Below are 23665 nucleotides of genomic sequence, written 5' to 3'. Positions count from 1 at the left end.
ATTGGGGGTTGTTTTCCGATGAATCTTTCAGTTTCTGCTAGTGTGTGGCTATAACCATTCTAAGTGGCAGTGCAGGGATCTTCTTTGCTTTCTGGCTTTCTAATTGGCAACTAAATCCTATTTCTGAAAAGCAAAAATAGATGTTGCAAACAGGTATCTTTCTTTGGGTTGCCTTGGTCACCTTTAGAGTGCCATTTCACAGGAAGAAGGAGAGAATGAAAGTTCTTTTGCTGAAGAGGAGTTTCCTTCTCAAAACTTCTCAGAACATTGACCATGACTGCTCATGGCTAATCCTGGCTCCTTTTCACTAAAGGGAAACACTGAGAAAAGTCTGAGAACTCAGGACTGGGGACAGGCTCTAGAGGGAACTAACCCACCTTCAGTGAGGCTTGCTTTTGTCCAGACGCTGCCTATTTAGTACATCAGTAACCTGATTTTATTCAAAATAGAGCATCTCACTATATTTCAAAGTGGTTTACAACTCTGTATAAAATAGAACATCTTTACTAGGGGATGGTGGAATATAAACGTAGAAACACAAATATTAATACTACCCTCACAATGCATGCCTTACAAAAGACATTCGCTAAGTTTTGTTATGTATAAAAACATATTTAGCTACCAACTTTACTGTCACTGTGGAAAATTGCACAAACCAATATATGTAAGTGAATAATTTTACATGTAGTTAGCATCTTTTCTGATTAAGAGAGTCTTTTAAAGAACATATTGATTATGCATCTTATGTATCCTATGTGGCTAAAGCAGCTCTGTGAATAGAGACCTGCCAGTTGTTTTGTTAAAATAACAGAGTGCAGCTGCGATTAAAAAAAAAAAAAAAATGAAAACAGCCTATCTGGAAGAGCTATTTTTAGTTTTAAAAGGTGGAAGAGGAGGGAATCAAGAGCTAATGTTTTAGTTTGCAAATATAAGAGTTTTGGGGAAGAATGTCAGGTCAGGCAAATGTGTGGGCCACAATGGAACGATGGTTACGTATTTGCTAAAATGTTTCCAGACTAGGACTTCCCAAGTGAGTGGCAGATATGCGTGGGAAAGTCACCCTCGAAACCAAAGAGGGGAGGATGCACACCAAAAGAGAATCTGTTTTTTTACATTGTAGTTGTAATGGGAACAATCACTGTTGCCAAATGTAAACTTCTTAGGTTTGTAAAACCCCAAATAACACCACTCTCCATAGATAAAAATGTATATTTGAAGGAAATAGTTTTACAATCGAACTAGAGATTGTCATTGCCTCTCAGAAACAAAACGGAATATTATCTGTCCAAGATAAAACACTCTTTGAAAGTGCTTTCCTGAATCGTGTTGACTCTTCAGTGTGTCAGTGGGCAGGTCCCGGCTGTGTTCGCAGCTTTGTGGTCTCCTCCGGGCCTCTGGGGGTGGCTTTGAATGGGACAGCTTCACAAAATCTGCATGAAAATTGGGAATTGTCAAAGTAATTTGCCATTTACTGACTTGCTCTCTATGCCTTTTGTGTTTTGATCAATAAAAACTTAAATCCTTTACCCAGTTTAGTAACAACCTATTCTAAAGCATTATACTCCCCCTAATGTTTTTCGAGCTCTGGTTGTACAGTTATCCATTTTCAATGATATTCATTTTAAAAGGTTAACAAACGAGAAACTAAACCAACCATACAAATAACAGCCTAAAGAACACTTTCCAAAATGTGTTGCTGTAGTGCCATTTCACATTTAATATTCATGCAGAGGAAAGCTAAAGGCCACCAAACCAGGTGGATAAAATAGTACTGCATTTTATGACTCATTCTTAAATGAAATCTCTTAAATATTGCTAATGAAGCCGGCTCCCCCGCCACAGCCTTGCCGGGCGCCCTTTCGAGCTGCTTCAGTTCCATTTCCCTGTCTAGCAATTTGCCCCAGGCCCCTATTAAATGAATTATCACGGCCCCTAAATCATCTCTGCGGGGGTTTCCTCTAATCCCATCAAGACACTTACACTCCCTTTCTTCCCTCCTGGTGACATAATGAATGATTATTTCATGGGGAGCCGTTAAAGAGGCCCCTCTGGAAGAGGGGAATGCGCGCTGCCCGGGGCGGAGGCGCGGGGCTGGGCCACGGGGAGGCCGGGTGGGCACCAGCGCCGCCTCGGGCTGACGGGGACAAAGAGGCCACGCCGCCACCAACTGCCCTCCCGGCCGCCCGAGGTGGGGGTTCCCGCGAGCGGCGGGCCGAGAGCCTCCCGCTCCAGGCCTCCCCGTGCGCCCGGCCTGGGTAGCGACTCCGGGAGCCCAGGAACGCTGGGCAAGGAGAGAGAATATAAATGTTTTCCTTAACCAGAGGAAACACAGCACTCACAAACCACTTGCGGAATAGATTAAGCTAATTTATTAAACACAGTTTGCCTGGTGACTGAGCTGAGCTGAGTAATGATTTACAATTAAAAAAAAACATTAATAAGAGAAAGTCAGGGGCCACCGTGGCCCTAATCATGGGGCCATGGCAGCTCCGATGGGGCTGGGGCGCGCGTCCCGGCGCTGGGTTTGGGACCAAGGGTGGCCTTAGGCCTGCGGCATCGGTGAAACTTCGCAGCCGTTGCGGAGCCGAGGCCCCCAGCTCCGGGGAGATGGCGTCCAGGAGAAGAGAGTTGGGCCCTGGGCGGGGAGCCATCTCCAGGGAATCAGGCAGAGGGACCCTCTTCCCCAGAGGACGGGGTGGTTTGGTTGGGGGGGTGTGTGCGTGTGTGTGTTTTACGTGTTGTTTCTGAGGCTCTCAGACCTCCCTTCGCATACCCGTGCTGGGTCTTCTGACAGTGAAGTAACATAAAACAGTTTCCAGGAAATTTTGGAAATTGAACTTGAGGACACGCGTCTTGATAGCGATTCTCAACAGCGTTGGGTGGCAGCAACCGTCTTTTCATAACAAATACTTCCTAATGCCCAGCGCGGTGGCTCACGCCTGTAATCCCAGCTCTTTGGGAAGCTAAGGTGGGAGGATCTCTTGAGCTCAGGGGTTCGAGACCAGCCTGGGCAACACAGTGAGACCCCCCTCTCTACCCCAAAAATACAAAAATTAGCTGGGCATAGTGGCACACGCCTGCAGTCCCCGCTACTCAGGAGGCTGAGGCAGGAGGATCACTTGAGCCTGGGAGGTCCAGGCTGCAGTGAGACGTGATTGTGCCATTGCACTCCAGCCTGAACAACAGAGTGAGATCGTGTCTCAGAAAAAAAAAAAAAAAAGAAAGAAAGAAAAAGAAAGAAAGAAAAAAGTTGTAATATCTTTTACTATTCCAAATAAAAATATTGAATAATATATCCTACATGTGATTTAGAAGAAGAGAAGATAGAAGGAACGAAGAAAAGAAAGAGAGGCAAAAACATGAGGGCCTAACTATAAACAACAACACAAAAGGTATAATATAACAAAAATATGGTAAAATACATGTTTCAATGGGTACATTCTCCGTCACGACAACTAAGAAATGAAGTAATCAAATAATCTCACTGCCATTTTTTTTTTTTTGACAGGCTCTCACTCTATTGCCCAGGCTGGAGTGCAGTGGTGCCATCTTGGCTCACTGCAGCCTCAATCTTTGTGGGCTCAAGTGATCCTCCCACCTGAGCCTCCTGAGTAGCTACGACTACAGCCACATGCCACCACGCCCAGTTAATTTTTGTATTTTTTTGTAAAGATGGGGTTTTGCCATGTTGCCCAGGCTGATCTTGAACTCCTGAGCTCAAGTGATCCTCCTGCTTCAGCCTCCCAAAGTGCTGGGATCACATCGCTTTATAACAAATGTTGATTTAAGAGAAAGCTTTCAGTTGATTGTTGTTGACTCTTTTTCTTTATAATCAACGTTATGAAATAAGGGCTGAATAAGGATATTTCCTCATACAAGTAGAATCATCATCCAAATGTGACAGCTGTGGTTGGAAGAACTCAAAGCCCAAGGGCTACATTGCATTGTTGTCCATAACATGATTTTCTAAAATGGTGAGCAACTCTTGGTCAGGTTCCAGACAAAACTGTGTACATGGTAGTTGTATTCCTGGAAAATTTAATGTACATTAAAACTAGGTAAAAACACTTTGTGCTCATATGAAAAATGGAGCTAGAGATAGTTATCAAAGGCTTTTTCACCTACATGAATATCCGATGGAACATTGGGATGTGTTCTGAAGGACCTGGAACAATTGTTTGAGTGCCAATGTACTGCCTTTTTGGGATGGACACTGCCCCCTTTGAAACTCCCTGGTCTAGAACATTGGTTTCTAAATTCTTTGCCTTAGAATTTCATGGAAAGCAGAACATTTTACATATGACATTAGAGGGTTTGCAGGCCTCTTGAAACCCATTCATAGACCCTCTATCAAGTCTATGTATTCTGAATTCTAAACCCTTGGTGCACAGCAGAAATTGAGAGGCTAGAATCATAGAATAGGATAGAACCTTACCTGGATCCTCTGAGGAAAATCAGCTCATCCAAGGTCTAAAGGCCATATTCAGATTTTGAGTTTATTTGTTTATTGCGGGAAATTAGTCATCATCCTGGTTCTGGAAGTGTAAACTAAATTACTTTAGTCCTTAAGGTGGCTCTAACACACTGTTTACTTCTACTCAACTTGTGATCAATAAAAACCCTAAACCTATTCTACTTTTTCTGGCTAAAAATGTTTGACCTTTGTACTTAGGCAGATAATTTTTTGTATTGAAGTGTAGGGCTTTACATTTAGTACCTATTAAATGCCTTCCTTTGAAGATGACCCTTTATCCCGGCCTTGTCTAAATGTTTTTAGATACCAATTTTGTCTTTGAATTCATAAGCTTTCCTTTCTAGTTCTCTGTCACCTGCATGTCAAAATGTTAGAATTAATTATTATAAAAAGGAAAACTGAGATAGAGGCCTCTTTTGCCAATGCTATATCACTGGTAATAATAGGAATATGTTAGCTTTTTCTAGTGTATACAGAAAAAGCCCCATTAGTTTAGTGTGTATATCACTGCATATTTAGAGTTGAAAAAATAAGGCTCTGTGCATTATAATGGTGCTTCCTTTTATGTTGCCAGAAACATTTGATTTTTATTTAATTAACTTTTATTTAATTAACTTATTTATTTTGAGATGGAATCTCACTCCGTTGCTCAGTGCAGTGGTGTGATCTCAGCTCACTGCAACCTTCGCTACCTGAGTTCAAGCAATTCTCCTGCCTCAGCCTCCCAAGTAGGTGGGATTACAGGCATGCACCTCCACACCCAGCTAATTTTTGTATTTTTTTGGTACAGATGGGATTTTATCATGTTGGCCAGGCTGGTCTTGAACTCCTGACCTCAAGTGATCCACCTGCGTGGGCCTCCCAAAGTGCTGGGATTATAGGTGCGAGACACCATGCCCAGCCTGATTTTTATTTTAAACGTCTTTTAGAAGATTGCTGTTCCCCACTCTCAACGCTGGGATTTTGTCAGTTCTAAAAATAATATTGTACCAAATTCAAATATGTTTTATAAGAAGTTTTCCACAACCCTGCCATTCTAACATAACTGTTTTTATTTTTTCACATTTCTTTCCACAGCTTCTACTTTTTGTTTAGGCTTTTACATATTGCATGCCCAATTTTCTACATCTCTTTCTAGTTCCCTGTTACAAATGGGTGTTAGCCTGGATTTATTCTTAAGCATGTGCAATTGAACTAAAACAAGCAACAGAGCGTCTTCCATACATACAGCTTTGCCTAAGTGGGCTAACAAGTGGGCTGAAATCTTTGTAGGCCTTACAGAAAGTGATCACCATAGAAAGGAGGTAGAACTGTCATGTGAACTTAGCAGCTCACTTTTTAAAGAATCATCAAACATCTACATAAGTCAGAAGTGTATGGGGGGCAACGGGGTCTTGAGCTGCCAATTTAGAAAGCCCTGAAGTTGTGATTTGGAACATTTTGGTTTAGGGAGCCCAGACTAAAGTCTGTGTCTTCAGTTCTGCTCAAGAACAGGGTGAGGGGGTAGGAAAGGGTGGTAGAGAGGGCGCTTGGATTCATTTTTGGTTTTGGAGGGCGCTGGGACAGTTGGGGAAATCACCTCCTCATTAGAAGCCCTTTATAGGCCGGGCACAGTGGCTCATGCCTGTAATCCCAGTACTTCGGGAGGCTGAGGCAGGCTGATCACCTGGGTTCAGGAGTTCGAGACCAGACTAGGCAACATGGCAAAAACCCGTCTCTATTAAAAAAAAAAAAAAAAAAAAATTAGCCAGGCATGGTGGCTTGTGCCTGTAATCCCAGCTACTCAGGAGGCTGAGGCAGGAGAATCACTTGAATCCGGGAAGCAGAGGTTGCAGTGAGCCGAGATCACGTCATTGCACTGCAGCCTGGGCGACAGAGTGAAACTCCGTCTCAAAAAAAAAAAAGAAGCCCTTTACTTTACTTCTGTTCGTCTCCCCCTGGAACTTTCTTCAGGACCCAGGTGAGTGGCTACAGCCTAGAGATGCTTGTCCACAGCCCAAGGAAGTCTAAGCTAAAGTTTCATTTACAATTCATACATGCTTTTCTACCCTCTTATGCTGAGTATTTTATAGAACATCTTCTCTGCAAATATCCTTTATCTTTTAGAAAATTGATAATAATGGTGGCTATCATTTATTGGGCATCTAGTATATGCCAGGCAGTGTATACTTACATTATTATGCTTCACAACAATACCATGAGATAGGAGTCATTATGTCATTTTCACAGTCCAAGGTCATGTCACTATATAACATTCTGTGTCTGTTTAAGACTATATAAATTTGAGCAATATAAAATGACACCACATGCTGGGCGCAGTCATGCCTGTAATCCTAGCACTTTGGAAGGCTGAGGCAGATGGATCACCTGAGGTCAGGAATTCAAGACCAGCCTGGCCAACATGATGAAACCCCGTTTCTACTAAAAATACAAAGAAATTAGCTGGGCATGGTGGTGGGAGCCTGTAATCCCAGCTACTCGGGAGGCTGAGGCAGGAGAATCGCTGGAACCCAGGAGGCGGAGGCTGCAGTGAGCTGAGATCGCACCACTGTACGCCAGCCTGGGTGACAGATGAGACTCTGTCTCAAAAAAAAAAAAAAAAATTAAAATAAAATGACATCACAATATCCCAAGGCTTTTCTCTCATTCAGGAAGACAAGAGAAGGTAAACAGAGAGACCTGGGGCTTTTCCAAAGCAGGAAGGATAGTGTGACTGCTCTTACTGACTTCTTTCTGCATAAAGCACAGGATGTTTCTGGAGTAAGCGAAGGGCAGACTCTTGGAAACTTAGCAACAGGAAATGATCTTGAGACAATGAAGCTTAAGAGACAGAGCTGGCATATTTTCAGGATGTAAAATATTGGACTCGGAATATATAAGTTGTAGCACAGAATGTCTCACCAAACCACTGGGTGACTACAGATCAGTTACCGAAGTAAATTCCTTCAGCCTTAGGTTGCATCAATGTTTGATGAATAAATACATGATGATTTTTCAGAGTTGCTAAGAATTCCTTATAAGAGAGGAATAGGAAAAGCTGACCTTGTTTAGCATATGCAGTGCTTCTCAGCCTTTGAATGGAAACACTCAAACCATAAAATGTAATTCTGTTTTCTCTCACCACTGAAGTTTTTGACAAAGAGTTACCCTTGTCAAGCTCAGAAATCATTCTGGGTGATGTAAAGCAGGTTATAGGGCAACCCGGTTCCATAATTGAATAAATTATAAGTTTTCAAATGTTCCTTGCTCCAGAAATAAAAATAATTGGCCAGGGTCTTTTTGAGGTTGGCCTCATCCATAATCTGAGTCCCTGCCTGAGGCAGCTCTAATCCCACGAATGCATGACTAACACAGTCATATTTTTGCTGTGGCCCCTGGAAACACCAAGAGTCTTCCTAAAAATCAATCCCGGACTTTATAGTATTATCAGGTTTTCTCTGTAGGTGGCTGGGATTGCTGTCATTGTTCCAGCTTACGATGACTTCAGAGCTCCGGGAGAAATTAGGCCCTGATTCAGCCGATCCCCAGAAACCTCATTCAAGGGAACCTGGGCATCCAAAATGTTTTCTTTAGCAAGTTAAGCCAGTGTGCTTAGTTCTGCCATCTGCAGCAGAAAAGACTGTGGGTCTGGTCACAAAACCTAGGACATTTCCATGTCCTGATGATTTATTACCAGGGCAAACAGAAATATTGCAGACCACAATATCATTTATCATTTAATTACATATCTTTCTGGAAGACAACATACACAACCAAAGAGGCAATTTAGAGATGACTTGTCTTTTGCTTTGGGCCTCCGTTTCCTTGCCTGCAGTAAGAGAGGCTTGGGCAGAATGGTCTCTGGATCTTGAAGGGCTCTTTAGCCCTAACCTGCGAGAGTCTATAGATACATAGGGAGATGAAGCTCTTACACGGAAGTGGCCTTCTTGAGCTATAGTTTCATTGGTACCACCTCCTATCTGTGCTACACAACTGCTTAGCCTCATCAAGCCTCAGGTTCCTCATCAGCAAAAATGGAGATAAGGACAGTACCAACTTCATAGAGTTAATTGCTTGAATTATTAAGGTAATGCATGTGCACATCAGAGAAGGAAATCTCAGAGGGCACTCAACTTATATGCGCTGTTATAATGATTATGGGGCCATCTGATTGTAATCACTTTTCTTTGCCTATTTTCCTCCTTGCTCCCTATCTCTCCTTCTTTGCCTCCACATACTTTTCATCACTTATCTTTTCAAATTTACTTTTACCACACAAACCATCTTCAAGAGATAAACTTTAAAGAAACCAAAAATGAGGGGTTCCAATATCAAGTTCAAGGATGATTGATTTCAGGACCCAATCCTAGATCTTTCAAGGTGTATTAGTTCATTCTATGCTGCTATAACCAAATACCTAAGGCTGGGTGATTTATAATAAACAGGAATTTATCCACTCACAGTTGTGGAGGCTGGGAAATCCAATATCAAGGTGCCAGTATCTGGCATGGGCCTTCTTGCTGTGCTATAACATGGTGGAAGACATCACATGACAGAAGCAAGGGGGGTAGAGAGAGAGAGAGAGTGCAAGAGGGGCCAAACCCACTCCCATGATAACAAGCTGCCTCTCATGATAATAGTTTCAGTTCATTCATGAAGGTGGAGTCCTTGTGACCTAAACACCTCTTTAAGGTTCCACATCCCAATACCATCACAATGACAATTACATTTCAGCATGAGTTTTAGAGGGGACAAACATTAAAATCATAGCACAAGAATTGTAAACAATTCCCTGCACTTTTTTTTGCCTTACAGTATTTGCATATCTACTGCCCCTGTCAAATCATTTATATGGGTACAAACATGTAGGTTGGGGTGTTAATGTTGTGGAGATGTTTAGGAACAGATATTTCTTTTGTGTACCTTCGTTTTTCTATGTGTTAGAACAGGAAGGGTTGGATTCTCCTTAAAAGACTCTGTCTGGACGAGGACTACTGTTAGTTAGTTAGTTAGTTTGTTTGTTTGAGATGGAGTCTTGCTCTGTTGCCCAGGCTGGAGTGCAGTGGTGTGATCTCCGCTCACTGCAAGCTCTGCCTCCCAGGTTCACGCCATTCTCCTGCCTCAGCCTCCCAAGTAGCTGGGACTACAGGTGCCCGCCACCATGCCTGGCTAATTTTTTGCATTTTTAGTAGAGACCTTGTTAGCCAGGATGGTCTCGATCTCCTGACCTAGTGATCCGTCCACTTCAGCCTCGCAAAGTGCTGAGATGACAGGTGTGAGCCACTGTGCCCAGCCGAGGAGGACTACTATTTTGGCAATGTTTGTGGAATCTTATTTTCTTTGTGATGGATTAGGAATACATAACGTATGAAGCATTTTCCTTTTAAGATTTAAGTGTTTTCTACTTAGTCTACCACAGGTTAAATAAACATTCCTGTGAAGAAGCTCTTTAAAACATTTATATTTTCTCCTTCCCACATACCTCAGCAAATCTTAATTAGTGTCATTTGCTTCAAAATATGCCCAGTTCATTTCCAGGCTGCCAAGGCAGAGTCAGAGTTCAAGTTGCCATATGTTGATGGGAACAGGTCGACAACACTCTTCCCTGTCCAGAAGACATCTTCCTTGGTCCCTGAGCATTTGATAAAACCCACTTTCCCCATTTGCTCTGTAAATTCATTTCATCTGTACTATCTCCTCTTGGAACCAGGTATCTTTGGAACAGAAAACTGGGAAAACAATCATGAGTGGCTGATGTCCTCTAGTCTTGCTTACTGACCAAAATATCAGCTACTTCATGGGATTCATCTATTAGCCTTACTATGTCATGCACCATAGAAAATTACACTTAATAGTCTCTAGGCCCCTTCTTAGGATGTTGTTAATTATTTCTACGATACAAATGCAAGAAATAACCAGAACACTAGCAATGCAGTATGACAGAATGAAGCAAATTTGGAACAAAATATTAGATTTTTAGCGTAAGCCAACCAGTAAGTCATTCTCTTTCTTGCTTCCTTGACAACAACGGAATGGGTTTTTCCTCTTCTACTTTTAGCTTCCTTTATGAAAAATGCCTTGGAATTATGGTCCTTTCATGGTTTTCCACAATGAATGTTGCTCCCTTCTGCCCTTTCTTTGGGAGTGATATTCTAGCCACAGCTGAATGAATATTGTTCTTTGTGGCTGGAAATGCAGAAAGTGAGATCTGGAAACTTGGTGTGGTGGGTACGGGGTGCCCCACTCTGAGCCCCGCTTTACGACCAAGGCATTTATTCCTAGAATTGCTGGAAGTGTTGTTTGCTGAAAGCTCTTAACAAAATATCTCTCCAGGAATTGTCCTATGCCAAAGAGAGCTGCCTTGCCAGAAGTGACACTCCCTTCCAGGAGTCAGCCTGCATCCAGTGGCTGTCAAAGGGGGAACAATTCTGCAGGATCATCCGGGCCCCCGAGCTCTCTGTAGAACAGCTGAAGCGACCGCATGGCCTCAACTTCTCCTTCCACCCATTCCTGTTTCCTGCCCTCCCTGCTCAGGGGTAACTCCAAGAGCACCCTCCAGTAAACCTCTTGCAAGAAATCTTTATCTCAGAGTCTATTTCCTGGGGAGCCTGACCTATAACACTCAGACTAAAAATGTTAGAAATCATATGAACCAGCTTAAAGTGAGTCTTAAGTCCCCATATTTACTTTTTTTCTCCTAGTAATATTATACTCATTGGGCTAAAATACAATGAAGAACTTTGAAGTGTTAAAGAACTTTGGGATATCAGTTGCAAAATAGAAAAAAGATATTGAAGTGTATGAAATGATGTCACCAAATGAGAAATTCATTATAGAACATTCTTTTTTTTAACAAAAGCACCCAACTATCACTTTAAAAATCAGAGTTGTGAAAAACATAAATTTTATCAATTAGAATATTATTATAAGAAATTCTGAAACAAAGAGCTGTCTTAGTACCTTGATATTTTTAGTGTTGTTTTAAAGGAGCGAATTGCCTATCATAATAAATGCTTAGTGATTAAAGCAGCTACCTGCCATGGTCAGCAAGGGTGGGGGATGAGGGAAGAAGAAATCAGCTTCCAATGAGAAAACTAAGGCACCAAGAGACTTTTGTTTTAACAGTTTGCTCCACATGCACACCTTATCAGGACTGTAATTTTAAAACTTTTTTTCAAGTAGTTTATTATAACAACATTCAATGATGACTATCTCATTCAACACATAGTTATAGCAAAAGTAATCATGACTGATTTCTTTTCAGGCACAATGTATGTATCAAAATAGGGAAAAGGCCTCTTTTTTCCTTTAAAAACAAACCTTTACTGGAACTCTTTTTTTTTTTTTTTTTTTTGAGATGGAGTCCCGCTCTGTTGCCAGGCTGGAGTGCAGTGGTGTGATCTCAGCTCACTGAAACCTCTGCCTCCCAGGTTCAAGTGATTCTCCTGTCTCAGCCCCCTGAGTAGCTGGGATTACAGGCACATGCCACTATGCCTGGCTAATTTTTGTATTTTTAGTAGAGACAGGGTTTCACCATGTTGGCCAGGATGGTCTCAATCTCCTGACCTCGTGGTCGGCCTGCCTTGGCCTCCCAAAGTGCTGGGATTACGGGGGTGAGCCACTGTGCCCGGCTACTGGAACTCTTTGAAAATTCATTTATATAAGTCATATCTCAAAACATTATAATAATGTTATATTATTATTATAAATAAAATCATACAACACCAGAGTATACAGAGTAAACAGTTAAAATTCCCTCCTCGGAGGTAATCACTGTTCTGCTCACTTTCAGATCCTTTGTATGGGGGTCATAGTTATTCTGGGATCTATATACATACACAGCATGTCTTTCATTGTGTTTTCTCTTGTATTCTTACATTAGTAGGATCATTCTATTGTATTGTAACTTGTACTTGTTAACTTAAGGTTTTATTAAAATTCTTTTTAACCTATTAAATTCAAAGTCACACTGTGGTATTCCCAACTACTATATTAAAATTAAATTTGATGCTACATTGACCCTAGGGATGTTAACTATTTTGAGGAATCAAACTGCTTATCTAAGTGAAACAAATGAACTATTTCAGTTTTCTAATATAAATTCTAATTTTTCTCAAAAGTGCAGAGAATTACATTTTCCCTTTTCTTTTCAGACTGATTCATTTGAGCCTGACACCAAAAATAATTATTTTTTTAAATATCCAAGCAAAATTAAATCCAGTTCTAATCCTATTCTCAAAATGACCTTAATATTTTCTTTTTGCCTTGGTATTACCCTGCCTCCTCCATAGATGTGTGTTAAAGGAAAGGCTGGAAGGGAAAAACTAGTTTCAGCCACCCAATTTTTGCTTATATTTGTTTTCAAATCCAAGTGGCCTTTGCTTTTCAGTAGCAAAGGTCCTCTCTCCTGCTCCATCACTGGTCTGTAAAGTAAATTGCAAAAAGCTACCAAAGTCTGGCTACACCCTCATAGCGACTGTTTAAACCCATTACTTTCTCTTTTAATCAAATCACTGTTGTGTCAAAATATACGATTCTCGCCATGAATCTCCCCAGCTTGTTACAGGTCACCGGTTGCACCTTGAAAATGTTTGCTCTCCTAAGCGTCTTCTCTCCAGCCTCCAGCTAAATTGCTCCACACCAAGCCTGATCATTTTTCTATACACATGGACCTCTAATTGATATAAACATAATGGCAACGAGAACCTGTACTTTACAAAGAGAGGAAAGGAAAATACCTGGTCAGTAAGTATGTGAAGCATCATTTGGATGATGGCGAATGGGCATTTAGGCAGATATAAGCATTCATATCATATTAAGAAAAAAAAAGCAACCTCTGAAAATTCCTTATCCCTGAATTACTGAGAGATTTCAGCCTTTATTCTTTTCTGCTTTAAGAAATGTTTTATATAAAGCCGCCAGAGGGCCAGTAAGGAAAATAGTAATTATGTTTAAACAGCCAACACTTCACTAACATAAAATATTTGTACAGGCTCTTAAACATGAAGTTAAGTGCCAGAGGCTATTTTCATTGTTTAATGTATTAAGTAAATAAAAATGTATCTAAGATGTGGACACACAATTAGTTTTGAGTTATTTATCCTGGAGTTTGTATGGTTTAGAAAAACTCCATCTTCTTGGCTGCTGCTGTCCTAATGCATTTAACTTCAGCCATCAGCTATGATTAAACACCTGCTGTTGTGGGGAAACAAAGCACACTAATCCAATATGTATTTCTGACATCTTAAATATCACCCAGTCCCCTGACATCAGGCACAGCTTTTCAGCGGGATGGAATTCCAGAGCATATTTTTCTAATTTATGGATGGACAATAAATCAAAATTAAGCCTTGGGCAATGAAATATACATCAGTGCAGAATGAACTGACTGCAAACGAGGACCCTGCACAACCGAGGGGAAAAGGATATATTAATGGAATCCTAAGCTGCAAACACTGAAGTGAAAATTAAGGAAGTTTATTTCACATTTTATCCTTATGAAAACAAAAGACGGAAAATGAAAAGTTTTCTGTTTTTTCATGCACAGCACCAGAGGAGCACATTTACATTTTTAAAAAAGTGATTGTTTCCAAATGCTGTTATGTGAGTGATTAAAAAATCTCCTCTGCTCTTTTTCTTATTTTCAATATTTAAGAGAGTTTGAAGGGCTTAGCATGGTTTCAGTGTTCCTTTTCTGGAAGAATGAACAAAGGCCATTGTTGACAGTCGTCAGCTTCTCCTGCGAGGGCAGCCTTCCATTCAGCTGGACTGGCTGGGCTGGGAGCTGTCCAGTGATGAATGAATCTTCCTTGGACTGACCTCCAGCTATCCTGGAACCTGGAGACAAGAGGTGACCTGAGAGCTTTGCCCTCATCAACGGCCCTCAGGAACCTCATGTGTAGGGCCACTACCCTGCTCTGGCCACCTGGCTCTGTCCACCCCAGACCCTGGGCTGAGGTCACATTGGAGCTGCAGAGGTGGCTTATCCTTCTTGCCCTTGATGTTACCAATCACCATATGTCTTCAACAGAGCATGCCAAGGCAAGAACCATCATCTTTATCAGGCATAATGTTTTATGTTTATGAGCATGTCATGGCTCTTAACAAATATTATCTCTTGAATCCTCACAGCATCTCTGTTATTGGAATAAGTGGCAAATATTTATTTAATTGCTAGAGACAGGAATACACAGCCATAGCAAAATTGAGAGCTTTGTCTTGGGCTGCATGAAAAATGGTGGAATTGATGAAAGGCTCCCTGCTGACTGGCTTACAGTTCTAGGTCTCACCTAGACAGCAACCCCGCCCCCAGCTGACAGAAGTATCTTTAGCTTATTCTTCCTAAGGCATTTGCATCTATAGAACAATTATTTCTGTAGATTCATATGTTACTGGCTTACTGACATCTGGTATCTATTTATGAATAATTATTTACATAGACTTATGTTATTGAGAACATTTAAAATTATTAAAATTAATATTAAAGGAAACAATGTCATTTGGGAAATTTTTCATGTATCTCAGAAAGAATATAAGGTTCCTGATCTTATATTAAAAAATTCTAAGTGGAAGAATGACTGATTTTTAAAATTGATATCCTTTGGCGTCAGTAATTATTGGGGCTGATATCCATGGCTGCTATGAAGCATAAACATGAAGAATATATTCCCTCCACCATTCCACCATTGTGGTTTTCATTTTTGAATTAAAACATCTTTCTTTCTTTATTTTTCTTTCTTGCTTTCTTTTTCTCTGTCTCTTCTTTCTTTTTTCTCTTTCTTTCTTCCTTCTTTTTTTCTTTCTCTTCTTTCTTTTCTTCTTTCTTCTCTTTTTCTTTCTCTTTCTTCTTTCTTCTCTTTCATTTTTTTCTTTTTCTCTTTCTCTTTTCTTCTTCTCTTTCTTTCTCTCTCTCTCTCTCTTCCTTCTTTCCTTCCTCTCTCTCTTTCTTCTTTCTTTTTCTCCCTTTTCTTTCTTTCTTTTCTTTCTTTTTTTCTTTTTCTTTCAAGACAGGGTCTTGCTATGTTGCTCAGGCTGGAGTGCAGAATCTATTCACACGCATGATCATAGTGCACTATAGCGTCAAACTCCTGGGCTCAAGCAATCCTTCTTCCTCAACTTCCCAAATAACTGGGACTGACTTTTCTTTCTAGTTCAAATCCTTGAAATGATTCCTTATGGGAAATATTCATAAACCTGGCAGGAAATTCTTTGTATAAAAATATAGCTTAGTGTTAATCAACTTATCAGTTTTTGAGGAAAACTTTGTGCTTTAAAGAAACAGGTTTTTTGTTTTTTTGTTTTGACAGAGTTTTGCTCTTTCACCCAGACTGAAGTGAAGTGGCACAATCTTTGCTCTTGGCAACCTACGCCCCTTGGGTTCAAGCAATTCTCCTGCCTTAGCCTCCCAAGTAGCTGGGATAATAGGCGCCTTCCACTACGCCCAGCTAATTTTTGTATTTTTAGTTGAGACGGGGTTTTGCCATGTTGGCCAGGCTGGCCTCGAACTCCTGATCTCAGGTGATCCACCTGCCTCGGCCTCCCACAGTGCTAGGATTACAGGCGTGAGCCACGGCGCCCAGCCAAAAAACAGTTTTTAAAATACCTCTTTTCCATTTAATTATCACAAAGCTACAAAGTAATCTTGGTAGTAGTAATAGAAATGGTTGATGTTAGTTGACAGCCCTGTTTTGGAAACCTTAGGTGAATTACTTCTAGTAGTCCTCATGAACAGCCTGTGGGTTCAGTACTGTTGTCACCCTTCTCGAAGGCTGAGGACATGAGTCTAGAGGATCAGACACTTTCCAGAGGTCATACGGTGACAAGTGGAGAAGAGAAGCAAACTCTGGCAGTCTGTTTGCAGAGTCTGCCTTTCAAGTACATTGTTATTCTAAAAATATTTAAAAGCCACAACTTAATGCTATATTTAGTCTCTCTCTGAAAATATGCATAGACATAAAGGAAAGTTTGATTTTTATATGTTTTAACTTTTAAACTCTCCAGGCTAGCTTAACTTACCTCCTCTAAATGCAGTGTTTTTCTATAAATCACTAAAAGGGGATCACTGGCTACTGTTTATAGTCACTGCCACATAATGGCAAGTAGAATTATAATAGTAAAAATTGCATCCTCAAGGTTCAGGTAGTACTCTATCCACATTGTAAGCTAAACATTTTTTTTGTTTAAAAATTCTAACTAGTATATCAGTAAATATGGACAAAAACCTATGGATGCTAATAAGGGATATGGAATTTCAACAGTATGAGTAAATGAGTTTGAAAACTAATGATTTTTCCCATGCTGAAATTAAATAAAATCATATAGTTTGGTTTACAAAAGTTTTTTAAACATTTATCAAAAGCTTGCCATAGCATTAGAAGAGTTCATTGTGATTTTAAAATGTGTATATTGATGAACAAAAGCACATTAATTATTGCAGCTGCAACGTTTATTTTAAAAGCTACTAAATTAAAATAGAATATTTTCTTAGTATATTCCATGTTTTTCAAAATTAATATATTTAACCAACTTTTATTGGTGGTCCACCATGTACCATGCATTATGGTAGGCCCTAAGGGATCAGTACAAAAAAAGATAGATGGGGTTTCCCTTATGGAGTTTATCTTCTAGGTGTATATAATTCTGTTCTTCATAATTGCAAAAATATGTTATGAGAAAAGTTGGAGAGCATGAAGAATGAAGAAATGTTCCTGACTTAAATAAGAACTTTATTTTGGCATTGTAATCCACATAAAATTTCCTAGAAAAATTGTCTTACATTCTTTTATATCTGCTTTTCTAAATGTCAGCATTTTTATTTCCTAGGTCTACAGACTCCGAGCTCCTGCTCATTATAGTTTCTTGTTAAGGATGTGCCTGGAGGATAGTTAGCCAGTCGGTTACTCTAGATCTGTTTCTTCCTTCTCTGTTTCTTGGCTGAGACTCTTGTCAAACCTAACATTTAGAACATTTAGGTAACATTCCTTTTTTTTTTTTTTTTCCAGACAGGGTCTTGCTCTATTGCCCAGGCTGGAGTGCAGTGGCACAATCTCAGCTCATTGCAGCCTCGACCTCCCAGGCTGAGATGATCCTCCCGCCTCAGCCTCCTGAGTAGCTGGGACTACAGGCGCGCACCACCATGCCTGCTGATTTTTTGTAGAGACGGAGTCTCGCCGTGCTGCACAGACTAGTCTCGAACTCCTGAAGCTCAAGTCATCTGCCCACCTCAGCCTCCCAAAGTGCTGGGATTTCAGGTGTGAGCCACCATGCCCAGCCATATTCTTTTTTTTTTTTCAATTGAAGTGAAATTCACATAACATAAAATTAACTATTTAAACTGAACAATTCAGTGGCGTTTAATACATTTACAATGTTGTACTACTACAACCTCTGTCTAGTTCCAAAACATTTTTATTACCCCCTCAAAAAGCCCATACATTGTAAGCAGTAACTTCCCCTTTTTCCCCTCCTCCCAGCCCTTGACAACCACCAATCTGCTTTCTGTATGGATTGATCTATTCTGGATATTTCATATAAATGGAGTTATATAATATGTGACTTTGTGTATCTGACTCCTTTCATTTAGCATGATGTTTTCTAGATTCATTCACATCGTAGCATGTATCAATACTTCTTTCCTTTTTATGACTGAATAATATTCTATTGTATAGAAAAACCACATTTTGTTTATCCATTTATCCATTGATGGACATTTGGGTTGTTGTAACCTTTGATTATCATGAATACTGCTGTTACCAACATTCATATGTAAGCATTTATTTGAATACCTGTTTTCAATTCTTTGGATAGTGTTTTTTTAAATACTCTTTTTATTTTGGAATAGTGTTAGATTTTAAGAAAAGCTGCAAAGATAACACAGAGAATTCCCATACACCCATCATCCAGTTTCCCCTATTCTTATTTTACATACCCATGGAACATTTGCCAAAACTAAGAAACCAACATTAGAACAACATTATTTACTAAACACCAGACTTCATTTGGATTTCAATAGCTTTTCCAGTAATATCCTTTTTTTTTTTCTTTTTTCATTCCAAGATCCCATCCAGGAGTCCACATTTTGCATTTAGTCTCCTTAGTCTCCTCTGGTCTATGACAGTTTGTTGATCTTTCCTTGTTTTTCATGATCTTGAGAGTTTTAAGAACTACTGATCAGGTATTTTGTAGGATGTCCCTCAATTTGGGTTCATCCAGTGTTTTTCTCATGACTAAACTGGAGTCTGGGGAAGAATACCATGGAGGAGATGTGCCCTTTTCATTACATTACATCAAGGGGTAGCTGCTACCACCATGATTCATCACTGGAGATGTTAACCTTGATCACCTGGCTGAGGTGGTGACCGTCAGATTTCTCTACTGCAAAGGTCCTTCCCACTGCCCTTTGTCTATTCTGTTCTTTGGAAGCAAGTCACTAAGTTCAGCCACAGCCAAGATGGGGGTGGGTGGGGAGTGCTAGAATTGATCTCCGCCTCCTGGAGGGAGGAATATCTACAAAAGTTATTTGGGATTCTTCTATAAGGAAGTGCATCTCTTTCCCCCATTTATTAATTTATTTTTACTTTAATAGATTCAGAGGGTACAAGTGTAGTTTTGTTACACGGAAATATTGTGTAGAGGTGAAATCTTGCTCTTTTAGTGTATTCACCACCCGAATAGTGAACATTGTAGCCAATAGGTAATTTTTCAACCCTCACCACCCTCCTATCCTCCTGTTTATTCAATTATGTATTTACATCAGTGTGAACTCATGGATATTTATTTTATAGCTCATATCCTTTTAAAGTCTTGTCACCAATATCGGTCAGAAAAGTGATAGATGCAGAGTGAGTGCAGTTTAGAGTGCTTTGAAGGCAGGGAGACCTTGAGTTTACTAAAAGATGTAGCAGCCACAGAACAAAATGAGGTGACTCTTGTACAATTCCTATAGGATGGGAGCGTTGAAGATATTTACTGAGTGCACCTATAACACATTTTCGTGCAAGCCTTTTAATGGAGGCTGTTTATTTTTACCGGGCTTGTTTAGTTAGGACCTAGGTTTTCTGATTCTTTGTTCTGTGCCACTTTCATAAACAGGTCAACCCATAGAGACAGAAAGAAGTCTATTACTGTTTTCAAGAATTGAGATGCCTAGTATAAAATTAGCCTCTCAAACAGGAGGCGTTTAAGACCTTTAGACATTTAAGACTTTTAGATTCATTGTAATGAAACTGTGAAACACCAAAGTCAAAAAGAAAATATTTAATGAGTTCAGAGAAAAGAAGATAGGTAACTTATAAAGGAACTACATTTAGACTTGCTGACTTCTTTATAGCAACAATAAAAATCATAAGAAAATTAATAATATAGTCAAAGTGCTCAGAAAAATAACTGTCAACCAAGAACTCTGCATTCAGCTAAGTTATCATACAATAGTGAGAGAAAAATGAAAATGTTTTTAGACAAACCCTGAGAGCATATTTTACCAATAGATCCTCAGTGAATAAGAAAATTGAATCCAGAAGGAAGAATTGAGATGAAAGAATAGGAAGCAGGGCTGGGCACAGTGGCTCACACCTGTAATCTCAGCACTTTGGGAGGCTGAGATGAGCCTGAGGTCAGGAGTTCGAGACCAGCCTGCCTAACATGGTGAAATATCGTTTCTACTAAAAATACAAAAAATTAGCCAGGCGTGGTGGTGCTCGCCTGTAATCCCAGCTATTCTGGAGGCTGAGGCAGGAGAATTGCTTGAACCTGGGAGGCGGAGGTTGCAGTGAGCTGAGATTGCACCATCGCACTCCAGCCTGGGCAACAAGAGCGAAACTCCATCTCAAAAAGAAAAAAAAAAAAAAGGAAGCAAATAAATATGTGAATGAGTCCAAAGAATAACTGACATAAAGCAACAGCAACAATAGTAATTTACTGGGGATTAAAAAAAAAAACTAAATTTAAAATATTGAACAGCAGGTATATGGAAAGCAGGAGGGGATTACTTGAAGTTAAAGTGTCCCTTTTTTTTTTTTTTTCTTGAGATGGAGCCTGGAGTGCAATGGCGCCATCTCATCTCACTGCAACCTCCACCTTTCGGGTATTTTGGGTTCAAGTGATTCTCCTACCTCAGCCTCCCGAGTAGCTGGGACTACAGGTCCCAGCTCACCCAGCTAATTTTTGTATTTTTAGTAGAGACAGGGTTCACCATGTTGGCCAGGCTGGTCTCAAACTCCTGACCTCCGGTGATACGCTCATCTCAGCCTCCCAAAGTGCTGGCATTCCAGGCGTGAGCCACGGCGCCTGGCCTGTAGGTAAAGGGTTCTAAGCTCCATGACTTGTTGAGGAGGCAGAATAGATAGTGATTAACTTTAGATTTTGGTAAGCACATGGGCCAAATTTTTAAGAATAATAACTATTCTTAAAGCTTGTTGAGATTTTGTTACATATTCATGTTATTCAAAATTTTTAAAAAATAACCTCTATAAATGCCTACTGATGCTGATACAACTTCCAAAACCAGGGCACTTGGGGAAGAGAAGGAGGGAGAGGGAAGGAAGGCAAAGAAACTTCAACCCATCTGCCAGAATGCAGGAAAGAAAAGAAGAGAGAGAGAAAAATAGGATAAAAGAGAGTGTAGAATAAGATGGTAGAAATAATTTCAAACATATTAGTAATATGTGTATGTAATTTGCCTAAACTTGCCAATTCAAAGAAATTATTAGACTGAATTTTAAAAATCTAGCTGTATTTTGCTTATAACAGACAAATCAAAATTATTAGGAAACAGTAAGACTAAAAGTAAAAGACTAGGGGAAAAAAGTTGGTAGCTTCATTATTACCAAACAAAATAGACTTCAAGGCAAAAAGTATTATTAGAGAAGACATATGGACACAGTGTGTGGAACCAGACATTTGAAAAGCTGTCGTATCATGTGAAAGAGAGATTCTACATCAAAAACACACTCACATGATTTTGTATGGCTCAAAAGGACAGAACAAAAGGTAGAAATTATAGAGGCAGGTATTGACGCAATGTGTTGGAAAGAGCTTTCTGACAATTAGCTCTCTGCAATGAAAGTTCTGTTTCTGAAGGTATTTGGGCTGTGGCTGTGGATGCATGAGCAGAGCTAGACAGATTGTGTCCAAATTTGTGCATTAGAATCACCTGGAGAGCTTTTTAAAAACATATTTCATGGCTTCTTTCCAGACTTAATGAGAAGATTCTACACCCTAGGGATCTGCTTTTGAAATGCACCCCAGGTGATTTTGATGTAGCTAGCTCAGAACTGATCCGTGGAATAGCATTTGGGAACGCTGGCCAGATGACTCCTAAAGATTCCAGTAGCTGTGATGTTTAGTAATTTAATAATGCCTTGCTGGACATTTACCTGTGAACTAGAGAGATTACTAGAAACTGGAGAGGTGACATCATGGTTTTCAGGGTACAGAATAATGGAGGCTAAGAATATCTGCAGTTTGTTGTAACTGGGTGAACAGCCCATGTGCTTTCTCCACCGTTCACAAGCTTTTCAGAGATGTTGGTAAAGATGATGGAAATTAACATTCTACTCAGAACAAATGGCCTAAGAGGTCCAACATGACTTACTGTTTACATCTCCGACACCCTCATTTTCATTATGGAGAGACTCTGTTACATGTCTAGTGGCCCGGAGCACTGTGTCTCAAACTTTTCCTGAGCACACGGATTACCTGAGAATCTTGGTAAAATGCAGATTCTGCTTCGGTTGAACTGGGGAGGGATATGCATCTCTAACAAAGCTTTCATTTCTTTTTTTTTTTTTTTTTAATTTCATTCCCTTCTATTCTAACAAAGCTTTCTATCTTCTCAATTTATCACTCAGTATTCAGGAACCTTCTTTTTCTTTAGACAAGATAAAGAGAGAAGTTCTCTGGTCTCCCAATGACCCTTTACCTCCTTATTCTAAATGATCATTTTGTCTTCCTTTTGCTGTGAACTGATAAGTAGAAGAGGCTGGAAACAGTGCTATGGGGATTGGGTTTTGCAAGAGATACGGGAGTCAGAACAAAATTTCAGAGCTGAGAATGGTGACATCTTAAGAGCTTAGACTTCTATTCCTACCCAGAGCAGGATAGAAGCCCTTCCTGGCCTGTCAAAAGACCGGCATTCTCCCCTCAGAATGAACTTCTTTGTTTCGTTTTGAAAGTTTCTGTTCTTTCATAAGTCACTTAATCTTCCTGAGGCTGTTTTTCCCCTGAGAAATGCTAATTAGATTTTCATGTGCTTTATAATTTATTATTATTTTTCATTAAGGTAAAATTCATATAACAAAATTTACCACTTTGAAGTGTACAATTCAGTGGCATTTAGTACACTTACAATGTTGGGCAAGAGCCACCTCTATCTAGTTCCAAAACATTTTTATCACCCCAAAAGAAAACCCTGTACTAAGCAGTCACCCCCTCTTCCTGCTTCTTCCTAGCCTCTGGCTACCACCAATCTGCTTTCTGCCTCTATGGATTGACCTACTTTGAGTATTTCATATAAATGGGATCATATAATATGTGATCTTGTGTGTCTTGCTTCTTTCACTTAGCATAATGTTTTCTGGGTTCAGCCACACTGTAGCATGTTTCAATACTTTGTTCCTCTTTTTTCTGAGACGGAGTCTCACTTTGTTGCCCAGGCTGGAGTGCAGTGGCACAATCTCGGCTCACTGCAACCTCCACCTTTCAGGTTCAAGCAACTCTCCTGCCTCAGCCTCCAAGTAGCTGGGATTGCAGGTGCACGCCACCACCTCACCCAGCTAATGTTTATATTTTTTAGCAGAGACAGGGTTTCACCATGTTGGCCAAGCTAGTCTTGAACTCCTAACCGCAAATCATCTGCCAGTCTCAGCCTCCCAAAATGCTGAAATTACAGGCATGAGCCACTGCGCCTGGCCCATTCCTCTTTATGGTTGACAAATATCCTATTGTCTGGATATACCACATTTTGTTTATCCATTCGTCTGTTGCTAGAGATTTTGGTGTTTTCACCTTTTGGCTATTGTGAATAGTGCTGATAGAAACATTCATGTACAAGTATTAGTTTGAGTAACTATCTTCATAATTTATTATTTTTAAATGTACCACCTCATTTGTTTTTCAAGTTAGGTTGAGAACAAGAAGTATTTTACTGACAAAAAACAAGCTCAGAGTGATTTGCTCAAGATTTCAAAGGTAGTAAGCAACCAAGAAAGTCAAAAC

The 23665-nt window shown here is 40.0% G+C and overlaps 1 long non-coding RNA gene across 2 annotated transcripts in view, besides 4 other annotated features; it reads right to left on the bottom strand.

The window, feature by feature from the left end:
- Window positions 1029–1539: an enhancer, noted in NCBI's record as "OCT4-NANOG hESC enhancer chr5:77254575-77255085 (GRCh37/hg19 assembly coordinates)". NCBI's record gives its function as "activates a minimal SCP1, AML or CMV promoter by ChIP-STARR-seq in naive H9 embryonic stem cells {active_cell/tissue: H9 hESC(naive)}" and the evidence as "EXISTENCE:reporter gene assay evidence [ECO:0000049][PMID:30033119]".
- The window catches only part of LOC101929154 (uncharacterized), a 74441-nt gene continuing 51969 nt past the window's right edge, over window positions 1194–23665 (bottom strand). The window contains exons 1-2 of one of the 2 annotated variants that reach the window (NR_105013.1): window positions 1981–2043; window positions 1194–1430 (exon numbers count right to left, since the gene is read on the bottom strand). This is a non-coding gene — a long non-coding RNA (uncharacterized LOC101929154). Of the gene's footprint in view, window positions 1431–1980; window positions 2044–23665 lie in introns of those variants that run through there. The other variant, NR_105012.1, reaches the window with a different exon arrangement.
- Window positions 1540–2050: an enhancer, noted in NCBI's record as "OCT4-NANOG-H3K4me1 hESC enhancer chr5:77254064-77254574 (GRCh37/hg19 assembly coordinates)". NCBI's record gives its function as "activates a minimal SCP1, AML or CMV promoter by ChIP-STARR-seq in primed H9 embryonic stem cells {active_cell/tissue: H9 hESC(primed)}" and the evidence as "EXISTENCE:reporter gene assay evidence [ECO:0000049][PMID:30033119]".
- Window positions 2562–3073: an enhancer, noted in NCBI's record as "H3K4me1 hESC enhancer chr5:77253041-77253552 (GRCh37/hg19 assembly coordinates)". NCBI's record gives its function as "activates a minimal SCP1, AML or CMV promoter by ChIP-STARR-seq in primed H9 embryonic stem cells {active_cell/tissue: H9 hESC(primed)}" and the evidence as "EXISTENCE:reporter gene assay evidence [ECO:0000049][PMID:30033119]".
- Window positions 22993–23162: a silencer, noted in NCBI's record as "silent region_16116". NCBI's record gives its function as "represses an Ori minimal core promoter by ATAC-STARR-seq in GM12878 lymphoblastoid cells {active_cell/tissue: GM12878}" and the evidence as "EXISTENCE:reporter gene assay evidence [ECO:0000049][PMID:35858748]".

This window comes from Homo sapiens, chromosome 5, assembly GCF_000001405.40.
Source record: "Homo sapiens chromosome 5, GRCh38.p14 Primary Assembly".
NCBI classification, from domain to species: Eukaryota; Metazoa; Chordata; class Mammalia; order Primates; family Hominidae; genus Homo; species Homo sapiens.
Note: the sequence above shows the minus strand (reverse complement) of the source record. Positions and strands in the feature narration are given on the sequence as shown.